Here is a 16848-nt window from a genome sequence, read left to right on the forward strand (position 1 = left end):
TAAGCCACCTTACCCAGCTCGTTCTCTGTTTGAAAAGAAAAAAAAAAATCACCACCTGAAATGATTTAAACCATTAACCACAAAAAAGCTACTATAGAAAAAATATCTATCGTATTTTAATTTAATTCATCAACAATAAGTGACATAAACAATTCTGTGTAAAAAGTCAATATTCTTTGGAACTGTCCTTTAATCCTTTGGAAATATGTTGTAATCAACCTTCATTTTGACTAATAGCAAAGACATAATCTGATTTTTTAAAGCTCTGATATGCAGAGAAGATAAAAAGAATGGTTGATTCTTGAAAATGTTTTTTGCTCCACTCAACCAAAGAACAAATTCTTTACTGTCAAAAAGCATTTTCTAGACTTCACCTGGAATAAGCTAGAAAAAAGGATTGGTAAATTTAAGAAACCTGTTACTAACTTTATTTCATTTTTTATTTATTTAATTATTTCCTTTTTTTTTTTTTTTTTTTTTTGAGACGGAGTCTCAATATCATGTGGAGAAAACGTAATTAGTGTGAGGCCCAAAGAGGAAATAAGTCACTGGTATGGAAATAGGTATTTCCAGGTGCCAGTATTTAGTCTCTGGGGTGAATTTGTTTAAAAAAAAATAGATAAAATTTATTATAGAAATGATGGGAGAGTAAAGTAAGTTTGAATGTCTATTTCTTTGCATATATGACAAACTATTCCAGAGAAAAATAGTGAATATTTCTCTAAAATTTCTACCAAAAGAAAATTCCAAAACTTTTCAAGATACTGTTGTATTCTGTTTTAAACACAAGATTATCTCGCAAACATTTCCTTGAAACACCTCTTGCTACAACTTAAAACCAGTACTAATTTTCCCAGTCTCAGAAAAAATAGAGAACTGTCATTCCTGGTTAATGTGTTCTATGCCTCTTAAACTTGAGTGTGTACATGAATCACTTGGGAGCTAGTTAAAATGCAGATTTTGGTTCAGTAAGTTCAGGAGCCCAAGATTCTTTATGTCTAATAAGCTCCAGATGATGCTGGAGGACCTCATTTTGCATGTCAAGAATTGAGACTGCTCCACTTCTCATACCTTTGGCTATCTGCCTCTTCCCTTCTAGCTATCACCGATTCACCCTGGGTGGGTAACTGACTCAGAAGACGTTATCAGAGCTCTTCTCCAAGACTTATTCAACAGGAACCAGTGAAGAAGATCAATGTCTCTGACAAAAAAACTATGTGTTGTAAGGCTCGGGGCTCCTCTCTGCCCATTTTTCCCGCTGAAAGAGGGAAGCTGATATAAGAGGTGAGGCCAGTAGACCAAGAGACAGTCAGAACGCTGGCTACATTCATGTCCCCAGTTTTCCCGGTTCCCTTTGAACCTGAGCTGTAGGAGCAGCCTCACCTTTACAATGCTATTTGAGACAAGCCCAATATTTTCTACAAATACCGTACATTTAACTAACTTATTTGAGTTGGTTTTCTTTCACATGCCACCATCAGAGTGCTGCCTAAGTATAATACTCATACAGTACAATTAAATTTCAGAAAATAACTTGTTTACGTTAATTTCCTTTTTGAGCTAACTAAATCATTTACTGTAACCTTTGTATGCAGAACCTATTTCCTAAATTTTTGTTTCTTACCTCTTGGTCTGAGTCTAACACTGTCTAGCACCTGAGACATAGTATTTGTTGTCTTGGATTCATCTATTCATGGAGAACAATCTGTACCACATGGCAGGCACTGTGCTGGAGGCTGGGACCACGTGATCCCTGTTTTCCAGTAGTTTACAATTTAGTAGGGGATACGGATAAAGCAACAAAGTAATGTAATGTGATGTAATATAATGTCATATAAATATAGGAGTATAAAGGAGACAGTATCATGGAGAGGGTGGTACCTCCTCAAAGTCTTGATGGATAAACAAGGAAGAAGGAAATTCCAGCCAGAAAGATCCAAATAGGCAAAGGTACATAAATGAGAACTACAGTGCTTTATTTAGAGAAGTGCATATGTTTCATCCCAAAGCATGAAGAGGAGATAACAGGAGGGTCAAGGGTACAGAGGTAATAGGGAAGTAGCCAACATAAATCAAGAAAGGCTTTGAAAAACATGACAGTGATCTTGGACTTCTATCCTATAGGCAATAGATAACGATTGTGAAAAGCAGCAACAGGTGTGAATCATGTTTTTACTTAGACTGTGTTGCAGGACATATTGAGAGCAATCAAGATAGAGACAAAGAGTTCTGTAGAACAGAGTTGGCAATCTTTGAGCTAGTGAACTATTGAGCAAAGTTATAATGAGGCAGAATAAAATATTCTAGGGTCAACTGTTTTTTTCTTTTTCTTTACCTGTTACAAATATCCTTTCATACATTTTCTTTTACACGTAGGTAATTTGGGAATTGTTACATTATCATTTTAAGTATTTCTCTATGAACCTTATACTATTGCATCATTTAAAAATCTATACTGAGAGTCTCTCTCTTACTAAAAGTGAGTTTAATTCACAAACGTTTATTATTTATTTCTTGCATTTATCTCTTCCATTTTCTGTATTTCCTTTTTGTTTCTTCTGTTTCCCTCCTTTCCTAACATCTATTGGATAGACTGAGTTTTACTCTGCTGGTTTGAAAATTACACATGATTTTAGTCTTCTGGTATTTTTCTCAACTTCTGTTCTTATATTTAGTATTCACTGATTTATTTCCTACAGTAATAGAATTCTAAAGCTTGTCAGTAGCTATATTTTCCTTATCCCCTTCACTTTCAACAGAAATGCCTTAGTAAGCTCTTTGGTCTCTCTGGACTCCAACACCAACCTGACTCATGTTGTTGTTTTCTAAGTTTAAACATTGATAGACTTTTGTTGTCATTCATTACTTGTTTAGACAAGAAATTTTACTAAATTATTTACTGATATTTATTTCCTATATCTTATTTGCTTCTAACCGGATAATTTCCTCCAACAGTGCTTTTAACATGTGTGTTAGGTGGTCTGAGTCTTAGTATCCACTTCATGAAAATATGTAAGTGATAATTAAAAACACTGTTTAATTTTTTTCTTTAAACACTTTGAAAATTTATTCTACCACTTCTTGCACCTAGTGCTGCTGTTCAGAAGTCTGAGCTGGATGTGTAGTTGGTCATCGTCAGCATACAGAGGATAACTGAAGCCACGTGTGGGAGGGAAGATCACCAACTGGGACACAGATGCTGAAAAGAAGGCAGCCAAGAATGAACTCTGAGAAAAGCCAACATTTAAGGAGTGGATACGAGAAGAGGCATTGTGAGCTAGACTGAAAAGGAATGGCCAGAGTTTTGCAAATGTAATCAGAAGTGCATCATGAAAACCAACAAAGGGAGCAGTTTCAACAAATAGGGATGATCAGCAACAACCTAAAATATTACAGAGAGATCTAGCAATACAAGTATTTCAAATTGTTCTTCAGATGTAACAATATATCCAAGTTACTGCACTTTCTTTAACCTTCTAAGAAAGGTTTGTATCATTTTTCTATGTTGGTGGGTGGTGAGGGCCAGGGAGAGGAGTAGGAAACCAGTAGAGAAGAGGACATAAAAAAGAGAGGAGACAAATAGAACATCAAGGTATTTAGAGAGAATGGAAGATAAAGAGCACAAGTGCACAGACATTACCCTTTACAAACGTAATGAGCAGTGTTCTCTGGTGATTAAGGAAATAGTCATGAAGGCAAGCATTTAATGGAGTTCATGTCTAGGAGCTTCTATATTCTTTGTAAGTAGGAATCAAGGCCTTTCGCTGATCGACAAGGAGTGCAGTGAGTTAGCAGCGACAGTAGTATTGCAACTATTGATACCAGTAAATAGTACCAGTAGTACTGGTCTACTTGTTGTATGAGGTATCTCTTTGTATCTGGAACTGGTGGGTTCTTGGTCTCACTGACTTCAAGAATGAAGGCCCGGACCCTAGCACTAAGTGTTACAGTTCTTACAGATGGCATGTCGCAAGTTTCTTCGCACCGTGATCTCGCTGACTTCAGGAGTGAACCTGCAGACCTTCGCAGTGAGTGTTACAGCTCTTACATGCAACGCATCTGCAGTTGCTCGTCCCTCCCAGCGGGTTCCTCGCTGGCCACAAGAGTGAAGCTACAAACTTTCGTGGTGAGTGTTACAGCTCATAAAAGCTGTGCAAACCCAAAGAGCACGCACCAGCAAAATTCAGCACAAAGAGGAAAAGAACAACACTTACACACCACAAAAAGGAACCCCAACCTGTTGCAGCCGCTGGCTCCGGCAGCCTGCTTTTATTCCCTTATTTGACCCCACCCACATCCTACTGATTGGTCCATTTTACAGAGAGCTGATTGGTCCATTTTACAGAGAGCTGATTGGTCTGTTTTGACAGGGTGCTGATTGGTGTGTTTACAAACCTTGAGCTAGACACAGGGTGCTGATTGGTGCATTTACAATCCTCCAGCTAGACATAAATGTTCTCCAAGACCCCACCCAACTCAGGAACCCAGCTGGCTTCCCTAGGGGATCCAGGCGCTGGGGCCCTGGGTGGAGCTGCTTGCCCGTCCTGTGCTGCGCCTGCACAGGTTAGCCCTTCAGCGGTTGATGGGACCGGGGGCTGTGGAGCAGGGGGCGGTGCCTGTCAGGGAGTCTCAGGCTGCATGAGAGCCCACAGGGTGGGGGGCTCAGGCATCGTGAGCTGCAGGTCCCCAGCCCTGCCCCATGGGGAGGTGGCTCAGGCCCGGTGAGAATTCAAGTGTGGGGCAGATGGGCAGGCAGTGCTGGGCGACCTGGCGCACCCTCAGCAGCTGCTGGCCCAGGTGCTAAGCCCCTCACTGCCCGGGCCTGTGGCGCTGGCCCACCGCTCCAAGTGCGGCCCACCGAGCCCACGCCACCCAGAACTGGCGCTGGCCTGCAAATGCTGGGCGCATCCCTGGTTCCCGGGCGCATCCCCGGTTCCCGTGCCTCTCCTTCCACACCTCCCCGCAAGCCGTGGGAGCTCCCGTCCTCGACCAGCCCAGAGAGGGGCTCCCACAGTGCAGCGCGGGCTGAAGGGCTCAAGTATAGCCAGAGCGGACGCCGAGGCCGAGGAGGCATTGAGAGCAAAGGAGGGCTGCTAACACGTTGTCACCTCTCATCTTCTAATTAGACCAAAGAACAAAAACATTTGCCTAGAGTAAATAATTAGATTTCCCCCATTGATTCCCCATAATCAAAAACCAAAATAAACCTAAGAGAAAGTGTTGCTTCTATGTCCTTGAAAAGTTGTGAAAAGGAACCATAGTGCTTTAATTGCATGTTTAAGAATCTATTACATTTTCCTTTTAATGTTATGAGATGGAAGTTGTTTGATGAGTCTCTGGTTCTTTGGGGAAAATTGTGGTTCCAACCTAGATTTTTGTAATTCTAAACTCTATAATTAAGGCAAAGACTCAGTTAACAGAATTTTACAGTTAAAGAATGATCAGGGAGCAAAATTTTGGTCCCTGTATAGTTTCCTAGGGTGGCTATAACAAAATGCCACAAACATGGCAGAATTTTATTGTGTCATAGTTCTGGAAAATAGGAGTCCAAGATTAAGGTGTTGGCAGGTTGATTCCTTCCGAGTTTTTGAGGGCTGTGAGACAGAATTCGTTCCATTCCTTTTCCCCCCGAGCTTTTGCTAGTTTGCTGCAATCTTTGGCATTCTTTGGTTTCTAGACACATCACCTGATCCCTTGCCTTCATGTGTATGTGGTGGTGTCTCTATTTGAGGGTCTATGTCTAAATTTCACCATTTTGTAAGTACACTAGTTATACTGAAATAGGAGCTTCACCAGTATAATCTCTTAATTAATTAACATCTTTTATGGCCTTATTTTCAAATAAAGTTATATTCTGAAGTACTAGGGGTCCAGACTTCAACATATGAATTTTTGGGGTAACAAGATTCAACCCATAATAGCCCTCTTCCAAACTTCCAAAATCCCTTTCCAAACAGTCTGTTTCAAAGCTTTTTGGGTCGTGAAAGTGACCTAGGGTATTTCAAACTCTGTCTATGATTATTACCTTTGTTTTAGTTTTTATTTTTTCCCAGTTTTTCTGCTTATGAGAAGAAAAGCAAAGGTGAAAAGGAGGAAGCCATGTATGTGAACAACCTAGGAGAAAGGTACTGGCAGCCTAAAGAAACAGATGTGAGTGGAATTCTGTTCAATATAAGAAGTCTGACTGCCATTTAAAAATTCAGGATTTTAAAAAATAAGTTTGTTTAAACAACAGGGTCAAAAATACCAGCTAATCAATAATTGAAAAGAGTTAAGATTTAGTGAATGCCAAATCACTAAATGCACAAACTATGCACAAACTATGCATCTGACAAATGCACAAACTATGCATCTGACAAAGGTCTAATATCCAGAATGTATAAGAAACTTAATTCAACAAGCCAAAAACAACCCCATTAAAAAGCGAGCAATCACGCCTGGAAACCCAGCACTTTGGGAGGATGAGGCAGGTGGATCACGAAGTCAGGAGTTCGAGACCAGCCTGACCAACATGGTGAAACCTTTCTCTACTAAAAATACAAAAATTAGCAGGGCGTGGTGACGCGCACCTGTAATCCCAGCTACTCAGGAGGCTGAGGCAGAAGAATCGCTTGAACCTGGGAGGTGGAGTTTGCAGTGAGCCGATATCATGCCACCGCACTCCAGCCTGGAGTCAACAGAGTGAGACTCTGTCTCAAAAAAAAAGTGGGCAAAAGACATGAACAGATGCTTCTCAAAAGAAGACATATAAGCGGCCAACAAACATAGGAAAGAAATGCTCAGCATCACCAGTAGTCAGAAAACTGCCAATCAAAACCATAATGAGATACCATCTTACACCAGTCAAAAGTCAAAAAGCAATAGATGTTGGCAAGGCTGCAGAGAAAAGGGAACACATATATTGTCAGTAAAACGTAAATTTGTTCAGCCACTGCAGAAAGCAATTTGGAGATTCCTCAAGGAAGTAAAAATAGAATTATCATTCAATCCAGCAACCCCATTAGTGGGTATATAGCAAAAGGAAAGAAATGATTCTACCAAAAGGACACATGCACTCATAAGTTCATCACCACGCTATTTACAATAGCAAAGACATGGAATCAACCTAGGTGACTGTCAATGGTAGATCAAATAAAGAAAATGTGGAATATATACACCATGGAATACAATGAAGCCATAAAAAGGTACAAAATCATGCCCTTTGCAGAAATATGGATGGGTCTGGAGGCCATAACCTTAAGCAAATTAATGCAGCAACAGAAAACCAAACACTATATGTTCTCACATTTAGGTGTGAGCTAAACATTGAGCACACGTGGATATAAACATGGGAAAAATAGACACTAGGGAGGAAGAGAGGGGTGCATGAGTTAAAAAATACCTATTGTGTACTATGCCCACTACCTGGGTGATGGGATCATTCGTACACCAAAACTCAGCATCATGCAATATACCCATGTAGCAAACATGCACATGTACCCGTGAATCTAAAATAAGTCAAAATTATTTTTTAAAAATTAGTGAATGTAATCCTGATAAAATTAATAGAATTTTAGAGTTGAAAAGAATCTTAGGAATTATCTATTTTAATATCTTAATTTGCCACATCATATTATAGAAGGTCAGAGAGGTGGCAAAGTTAGACCCAGAAATCATTTCTCCAGATTTCTAATACAGTGGTTCTTCTTCTGTCTCTTATGACACCCAGTGTGTTCTACATGACAATAAATCAATCAGTAAATACCTGCTAAAAATCCTTAATTATGAAAGAAGGCAAAATATAAGGCATGACTGACGCTTCAAAGAAGCTTACAATTTTGTTAGAGAAATAAGACAAGTACACTATATGAAGATGATAGTAGGTAATTTTAGGTTATTGTCTTTCTGGATGAGAACTGCCTCCTGCATCCAGATCTCTAGGACTTTAGAACTTTTTTCCCATATGACCCCCATATTCTGGCCACAGGTGATTGGTTTAGAGATTGGCATGTGACCCATGATGGGCCAATTATAGTATCTCATCCCCCTCCCACTCTGGTAATTGACCAAGGGATGGGTATCTAATCCAAGCCAGGCCAATCAAAGTATTTGCCTAAGAAACTGAATGAATCCATACCTTTCCGGTGAGAGAAGCTTTAAAACATAAAACTCAGTTTCTGTTCTTGGCTCTGTTTCTTGTCATATGGACAAAGGTCAGCCTTCGTAATAGAGAATGGAAGTGACTAAAGGAAGTAGAAACAAAGGAGAGAGAGAGAATGTGTAAGTTCCTGGTTTCGACCGCTCTTGAAATTAGCTGTACCTTGACCTTCCCACACTTTCAGTCTTTACTGGGATCTAATAAGTATTTACCACATGTTAAGCACTAATCTAAGCATTTCACAATAAGAACCCATTTAATCCTCACAACAATCCTGTGAGGTAAGAATCATTACTACTCTGATATTACAGAAACTAAAAAACAGATTTAGTAATTTGCTTAAGATCACACTACTGGTAAAAGTAATCAAGCCTGGATTCAAATTCAGGCAGTGTGTACCAGAACCTGCTCTTTCAACCAGAATGTCATATATATTTCTGTTATACGTTGCATTGCACTAAGTTGCAGTCATTTATCTCCATGTCTGTCTTCCATGCTAATCTGTGACCTCACTAAAGTCAAGGGCTATATTTAACTTCTTTTTGTATCTTTAAGGCCTACTACAGCACCTGGTTAATAGTCAGTAGGGCACTCAGCAAATGCTTGTTGGACTATTGGTAACCCGGGAAAACTGAGGTTACCAGTACCTGACACCAACATACCTAATAAAGCTACCTAATAAAGGCAATAACACTGTGGTAAGTGTTTAACTCATTAACTTAAACGTGAGATAATAAAAAATGTTAAACCTTCATCCTCTTAAGTTTCTAAATTTTTCCTTATGGCAAAATATATATAAAATAAAATTTACCTTTTTAACCACTTTTAAGTACACAATTCAGTGGCACTAAATACATTCACACTTTTGTGCAACCATCACCCCCATCCATCTCTAGAACATTTTAATCTTCCCAAACTGAAACTCTACCCATTAAAAATAACTTCCCATTCTCACCTCTCCCCAGTTCCTGGCAACCACCATTCAACTTTCTGTCTCTATGAATCTGACTCCTATGGGTGCCTCATAAAAATTGACCCATACAATATTTGTGTCCTTTTGTGACTGGCTTGTTCCACATAGTATAATGTCTTCAAGGTTCATCCACGTTGTAGCATGTGTCAAAATTTCCTTCCTTCCTCTTTAAGGCTGAATAATATTCAATTGCACATATATATCACTTTTCTTATTCATTCATCCATCAATGAACACTTTGGTTGTTAACTGTAAATAATGCTGCTATGAACATGGGTGTACAAATATATGTTCAAGTTCCTATTTTCAATTCTTTTGGGACACACCTAGAAGTGAAATCGCTGAATTATATGGTAATTCTGTGTTTAAATTTTTGAAGAATCACCATACTATTTTTCAAGATTGCTGCATCATTTTACATTCCCACCAGCAATGCAGGAGTGTCCCAATTTCTCCACATCCTTGCCAACACTTGTTATTTTATGTTTTTTGTTTTGTTCGTTTGATGATAATAGCTTCCTAGCAAGTGTGAAGCAGTGTCTCATTGTGAAGTTTCTAACATTTTTGACCAGTGTTTATCTTTCTGGCAACTCTGCATATTCTAAATTTCATACTACTCTTGAATCCTACACGGAAAGAAAACTTCTTTGAAATCATAGAAATAAGAACACTTCCCAAAGGATAGTATTCATTCGATTTTATGCATACTGGTATGGAGGTGCTGAAATACTCTACATTTTGTGCTTAATATTACAAAATTCACACTTTTTCCCTAGTTAACCCTATGTTAGTCTTTGTCCTGTCTTTAATTGAGCAGTTCATTTAGACCCAATTGACCTTTATTCTGTTTATATCAGCTTTCCAATTTTTCAGTCATTCAAACTTTTTATCCAGTTCTTCAGGTAAGAGTCATCAACAAGTGAATGAAGAAGCACGTTATTTATTAACTGCATTTTCTAAAATCTAGGGGCACATTTTAAAACATTGTATGCTCTTTATATTATATATTAATTATTTATTTAAACATTGTATATTTATATTATTTTATATTACTTTATGAAGTATATTATTACTTTATGAAGTATATTATTACCTTATGAAGTTTTCTCCCTTAAAAACATATTGTCTTAAATAACCATCAAAAGAATTTACTTACAAAAAAAACAGAGCAAACTTTTGTGTTCATTCTTTTTTTTTTTTTATTATACTTTAAGTTTTAGGGTACATGTGCACATTGTGCAGGTTAGTTACATATGTATACGTGTGCCATGCTGGTGCGCTGCACCCACTAACTCGTCATCTAGTATTAGGTATATCTCCCAATGCTATCCCTCCCCCCTCCCCCCACCCCACCACAGTCCCCAGAGTGTGATATTCCCCTTCCTGTGTCCATGTGATCTCATTGTTCAATTCCCACCTATGAGTGAGAATATGTGGTGTTTGGTTTTTTGTTCTTGCGATAGTTTACTGAGAATGATGATTTCCAATTTCATCCATGTCCCTACAAAGGACATGAACTCATCATTTTTTATGGCTGCATAGTATTCCATGGTGTATATGTGCCACATTTTCTTAACAGAGCAAACTTTTTATTGACTTGTGTGGCAGGTACTTTGTCTAAAAGAAAATTAAAATTGATTTGCTCTGTGACAATCTTCTGAATAAAATATCTCAAAGTTTACAGAAACATTAAATTTCTATCTAGAGGGAAAACCCGTTACATAAACACTGTATTTCACTAAATAAGGAGCTCAATAATAACTTTCAACTTGCTTACTTTGAAGCACACATATGTAGAAAGAAGAAAAACAAGCAGCCCAAGCAATAATTAGTTGGGCAAGTATTTCATTGAAAGAGGGACCTTTCCTTCCAACCATCCCTCCCCCAGGTGTCAAGAGAATTGTCTAAGCAGGTTTTACAAGAATAATTCAAAAGCTGAAATAAGATATGAATGGCACAGCTGACTCTGTACCAAGAATGAAGGCCATGCCTGGTAGAGAAATGCAAAGATGTGAATGCCTAGTAAAGAAAGTAGATCAAGCATGAAGGATTATGTGCGTGGCAGTGCTGCCACCATAAGCCTATTTGACCGTAGCAGAGAAATGATTTATGATAATGCATTTACATTCAAGTCAAACAAATAAAGGCATAGTCTGGCCATTATAGTCAATATGGTGAACATCAGTGCTTCTCAAAATTTAATGTGCATATGAATCATCTGAGAATCTGTTAAAATGCAGATTCTGATTCAGTAGGTCTGGGATAATGCCTGAAACTCTGCATCTCTGACAAGCTCCCGCTGATGACAATGCAGCAATGCAGCTGGTCCATAGACCACACATTTTTTTTTTTTTTTTGAGACAAAGTCTTGCTCTGTCTCCTAGGCTGAAATGCAGTGGTGCAATATCTTGGCTCACTGCAACCTCTTTCTCCCAGGCTCAAGCTATTCTCTTGCCTTAGCCTCCCAAGTAGCTGGGATTACAGGCATGTGCCAACCACACTAGGCTAATTTCTGTAATTTTAGTAGAAACGGGGTTTCACCATGTTGACCAGGCTGGTCTTGAACTCCTGACTTCAAGTGATCCACCCACCTCAGCCTCCCAAAGTGCTGGGATTACAGGTGTGAGCCACTGTGCCCAGACCATAGACCACACTTTTAATAGCATGATGTACAGAATCAGAAGATATAGCGAATCAGTGGAAATTGAAATTTTCTGAGGCTCTTGGTGGCGTGTGCCTGTAATCCCAGCTACTCAGGAGGCTGAGGCAGGAGAATTGCTTGAACCCGGGAGGCGGAGGTTGCAGTGAGCGGAGATCATGCCACTGTACTCCAGTCCTCCAGCCTGGGCAACAGAGCAAGACTCCATCTCAAAAAAAAAAAAATTTTTGCTATTCTGATAAAAGAGCAGACATTGTTGGGGCCACCACAATCCTCTGTAGCTGCAGCAGCCATCTTATGATGAGTAAAAAGCCACCAATCCAAGGTTGGTGAAGAAGAAATATAGAAAGAACCTGTGCCCTTATTGCCATCATTAAGCAACTATACCAGCCCTAGGCTGCCTTATAAAGAAAATAAATCCATATTTGGTTCAGCCACTATTAATCAGGTGTTACAACTGGAAACACTCCTAATAAATAGATATAGGCTATAAGTACTAATGTGTCAAGTGTGGACAAACAAGCTAGCAGGACAGGGAGAGAGAGGAGGAGTAAAAGACCTGGGTAATCTGGCCGGGCGCGGTGGCTCATGCCTGTAATCTCAGCACTTTGGGAGGCCAAGGCAGGCGGATCATGAGGTCAAGATACCAAGACCATCCTGGCCAACATGGTGAAACTCCCGTCTCTACTAAAAATACAAAAATTATTCAGGTGTGGTGGCACATGCCTGTAGTCCCAGCTACTCATGAGGCTGAGGCAGGGGAATCTCTTGAACCCAGGAGGCGGAGGTTGCAGTGAGCTGAGATCGTGCCACTGCACTCCAGCCTGGGTAACAGAGCGAGACTCCGTCTCAAAAAAAAAAAAGACCTGGGTAATCCAAACTGAGATAAGCTTCTGTGAATAAGCAAGAATCCACTGTGGACTAGAAACCCCCAGTTTTTTTATAGACTTCATTTTTTTGAAGCAATTTTAGGTTCACAGCAAAATTGAGAAAAAGGTACAGAGATTTCCCATATATCCCAGTTTCCTACACCTGCATAGCCTTCCCCGTTATCAACATCCCTACCAAATATAGTGATATATTTGTTATAATTGATAAACCTACATTGACACTACATATAGTTTACATTAGGGTTCACTCTTGGTGTTGTACATTCTATGTGTTTTGAAAAATGTATCATGACGTGTCCACCATTATAGTATCATACAAAGTAAAAATTTGTGCTTTGACTTTTTATCCTCACCCTCCCCTACTCAATCTCTAGCAATCACTCGCCTTTTTACTGTCTCCAAAGTTTTGTCTTTTCCAGAATGCCAGAATGTCAAATAGTTGGAATTCTACAGTTTGCAGCCTTTTCAAATTGGCTTCTTTCATTTAGTAATATTTATTTAAGATTCCTCCATGTCTTTTCATGGCTTGGTAACATTTCTTTTTAGTGGTAAATAATATTTCATTGTCTGGATGTACCACAGTTTAATTATCCACTCATCTACTGAAGGATATCTTGACTGCTTCCAAGTTTTGGCAATTATGAATAAAGCTGCTATAATCATCCATGTGCAGGTTTTTGTGTAGACGTGTCTTCAACTCTTTTGAATAGATACCAAGGAATATAATTGCTGAATCATATAGTAAGAGTACGTTTAGCTTTGTAAGAAACTGTCTCCCAAAGTGGCTATGCCATTTTGTATTCCTGCCAGTGAGAGTTCTTGTTGCTCCAGTATTGCTATCATTTGATCTTGTCAGTATTCTGGATTTTGGCCAAATAGGTGTGCAGTGGTATTTCATTGTGGTTTTAATTTGCGTTACCCTGATGACCTATGATGTGGAGCATCTTTTCATATGCTTATTTTCCGTCTGCATATCTTCTTTGGTGAGTTGTCTGTTAAGGTCCTTAGCCCATTTTTTAATTAGGTTGGTTTTCTTATTGTTGAATTTCAGAATCCTTCATACATTTTGAATAACTGTCCTTTCTCAGATGTGTCTTTTGCAAATATTTTCTCCCAATCTCTGGCTTATCTTCTTATTCACTAGACATTGTCTTTTGCAGAGCAGAAGTTTTAAATGCTGATGAAATACAGCCTATCAATGATTTATTTCATGAATTGTGCCTTTGTACTGTATTTAATAAGTCATCACCATATACAGGTCATTTAAGTTTTCTCCTATGTTATCTTCAAGGAGTTTTATAGTTTTGCATTTCACATTTAGGTCTGTGATCCATTTTGGGTTAACTTTTTTGTGAAGGGTGTCAGGTTTGCGACTAAATTCTCTTTTGTTTTGCATGTGGGTGTCCAGTTGTTCTAGCACCAAACTATCTTTACTTAATTGTATTTCCTTTGCTCCCTTGTCATCAGTTATGATCAGTTAAGCATATTTCTTGGTCTATTTCTGGGCTATCTATTCGTGTCCTTGATCTATTTACCTATTCTTTTGCCAGTATCACACTGTCTGAATTACTATAGCTTTGTAGTAAGTCCTGAAGTCAGGTAGTGTCAATAATCCAATTTTGTTCTTCTCCTTCAATATTATATTGACTATTCAGGGTATTGGCTCTCCCTATAAACATTAAAATGAGTTTGCTGATATCCACAGACTAACTTGCTTGGATTTAGATTGGGGTTGCATTGAATCTATACATCAAGTTGGGAAGAACTGACATCTTGACAATATTGAATCTTCTTATCCATGAACATGAAATATCTTCCCATTACAGTTCTTCTTCGATTTCTTTCATCAGAGTTTTGTAGCTTTCCATATATAGATCATATAAATATTTTGGTAGACTATATCTATTTCTTTTTTTCAGTTCTAATGTAAATGATATTGTGTTTTTAATTTCAAATTCCTTTTGGTCATTGCTGGTGTATAGGAAAGTGATTAACCTTTGTATATTAACTTTGGATCCTGCAACTTTACTGTAATTATTTATTTGTTCCCGGAATTTTTTGTCAACTTTTTCAAATTTTCTACATAGACACTCAAGTCATCTGTGAACAATGGCAATTTTATTTCTTCCTTCCCAATCTGTATATCTTTTATTTCTCCCTCCCGCACCCTCCCCCCACCCACTTTTTTTCTTATTGCATTAACTAGAATTACCAGTATGTTGTTGAGGAGTGGTGAGAGGGACACTTTTGCCTTGTTTCTGATCTTGGAGGAAAAACTCTGATTTCTCACTATTAAGGAAAATTTTAGCTGTGGGTTTTTTTGTAGATATTCTTTGTCAAGTTCAGGAAATGCTCCTCTATCCCTGGTTTACTGAGAATTTTTATCATGAATGGGTGTTTGGTTTGTCAAATCCTTTTTTCTATCTATTGATATGATCATGTGATTTTCCCATTTTATCCTATTGATGTGATGATTAGATTAATTCATTTTCCAGTGTTGAATCAACCTTGTATAAAGGGATAAAAACCTAGGGTAAATCTTATTTGGTCATGGTGTGTAATTCTTTTTATACATTTTTTGATCCACTTTACTAATATTTTGTTGAGGACTTTTGCATGAGAGATATTGGTCTGTAATTGTCTTTTTCTTATAATGTCTTTGTCTGGTGTTGGTTTTAGAATAACATTTGCCTCATAGAATGAGTTGGACCCCTCTGCTTCTATCCTCTGAAAGAGATTGTTAAGAATTGGTTTAATTTCTTTCTTAAATGTTGGGTATAAATCACCAGTGAACCCATCTGGACTTGTTGCTTTCTGTAGGAAGTTATTAATTATTGATTCAATTTCCTTAACAGATACAGGCCTATTCCAATGGTCCATTTGTGCTTGTGTGAGTCTTGGCTGACTGTGACTTTCAAGGAATTGGTCCATTTCATCTAGTTATCAAATTGTGGGCATAAAGCTGTTCATAGTATTTCCTTATTATCCTTCTAAGGTCCATGGGATCTGTAGTAATATCCTTTATTTAATTTCTGATGTTAGCAATTTATGTCCTCTCTCTTTTTTCTTAGCCTGGCTACAGACTTATCAGTTTTATTGTTCTTTTCAAAGAACCAGATTTTGGTTTCATTGATTTTCTCTATTAATGTCCTGTTTTAAATGTTATTGTTTTTTGTTCTACTTATTTCTTTTATTCTGCACAGTTTAGATTAAATTTTCCCTTTTTTTCTAGTTTCCTAAGTTTTTTCTATCCTTTTACTTTTAAGCTTACGTGTCTTTATATTTAAAGGGAGTTTCTTGTAAACAATATCTAGATGGATCTTGTTTTTTGATTCACTCTGACAATCTCTGTCTTTTAATTGGTACATTTAGACCATTGATGTTCAAAGTGATTATTGATGTAGTTGGATTACTGTCTACCATATTTGTTACTATTTTTCTATTTGTTTTCCTTGCTATTTTTCTATTTGTTTTCTTTTGTTGCTATTTTTGTCTTCCTCTCTTTTCCTGCCTTTCGTGGTTTTAACTGAGGATTTTATATGATCTATTTTTTCTTCTTTCTTAGCATTATACATTGTGATTCTTTTATTTTTTTTAGTGGTTGCTCTAGAATTTGCAATATACACTTACAACTAACCCAACTCCATTTTCAAATAACACTACATCACTTCACAGGTAGTGTGAGTACCTTATAATACAAAATAATTATAATTCCTCTGCCCCATTTTTTGTATCATTGCTGTCATTCATTTCATTAAAATATAAGCACATATAAGCACATATATATGATATGTAAAAAGATATATGTTATATCTACATATGTAGATAGATATAGCATACATCTATCTATATAAATGATATATAATATATACCCATAAGCATACATAATCTAATCTATTGTTACTATTACTTTTGAACAACTGAAAATAAGATAAATAAAAGTTTTTATCTTCACTTATTCCTCCTTTAGTGCTCTTCTTTTCTTTATAAAGATCTGAGTTTCTGACCTATATTATTTCCTCTTCTCTAAAGAACTTTTTAAAACATTTTTTGCAAGGCAGGACTGCTGGCAATAAATTTCCTTAATTTTTGTTTGAGAAACTCTTGATTACTCCCTCATTTTTGAAGAATAATTTCACAGGGTACAGAACTCTGAGTTGATGGGGGTTTTTTTTGTCTCAACCCTTTA

General features: G+C 37.7%; 2 long non-coding RNA genes across 2 annotated transcripts in view; one reads left to right on the plus strand and one right to left on the minus strand.

Annotated features, from left to right (window-relative positions):
* The window catches only part of LOC124904210 (uncharacterized), a 51701-nt gene extending 43360 nt beyond the window's left edge, over positions 1 to 8341 (minus strand). Inside the window, exon 1 of the long non-coding RNA XR_007066206.1 lies at positions 8117 to 8341. This is a non-coding gene — a long non-coding RNA (uncharacterized LOC124904210). The remainder of the gene's footprint in view (positions 1 to 8116) is intronic.
* LOC105378826 (uncharacterized) lies at positions 1108 to 4028 on the plus strand. Its single transcript, XR_947556.2, has 3 exons — positions 1108 to 1284; positions 3092 to 3485; positions 3960 to 4028. It is a non-coding gene; the product is annotated as an uncharacterized LOC105378826 (long non-coding RNA).
* Positions 8342 to 16848: the final 8507 nt, after the last annotated feature.

The sequence above is a fragment of the Homo sapiens genome, chromosome 1, assembly GCF_000001405.40.
Source record: "Homo sapiens chromosome 1, GRCh38.p14 Primary Assembly".
Lineage (NCBI taxonomy): Eukaryota > Metazoa > Chordata > Mammalia > Primates > Hominidae > Homo > Homo sapiens.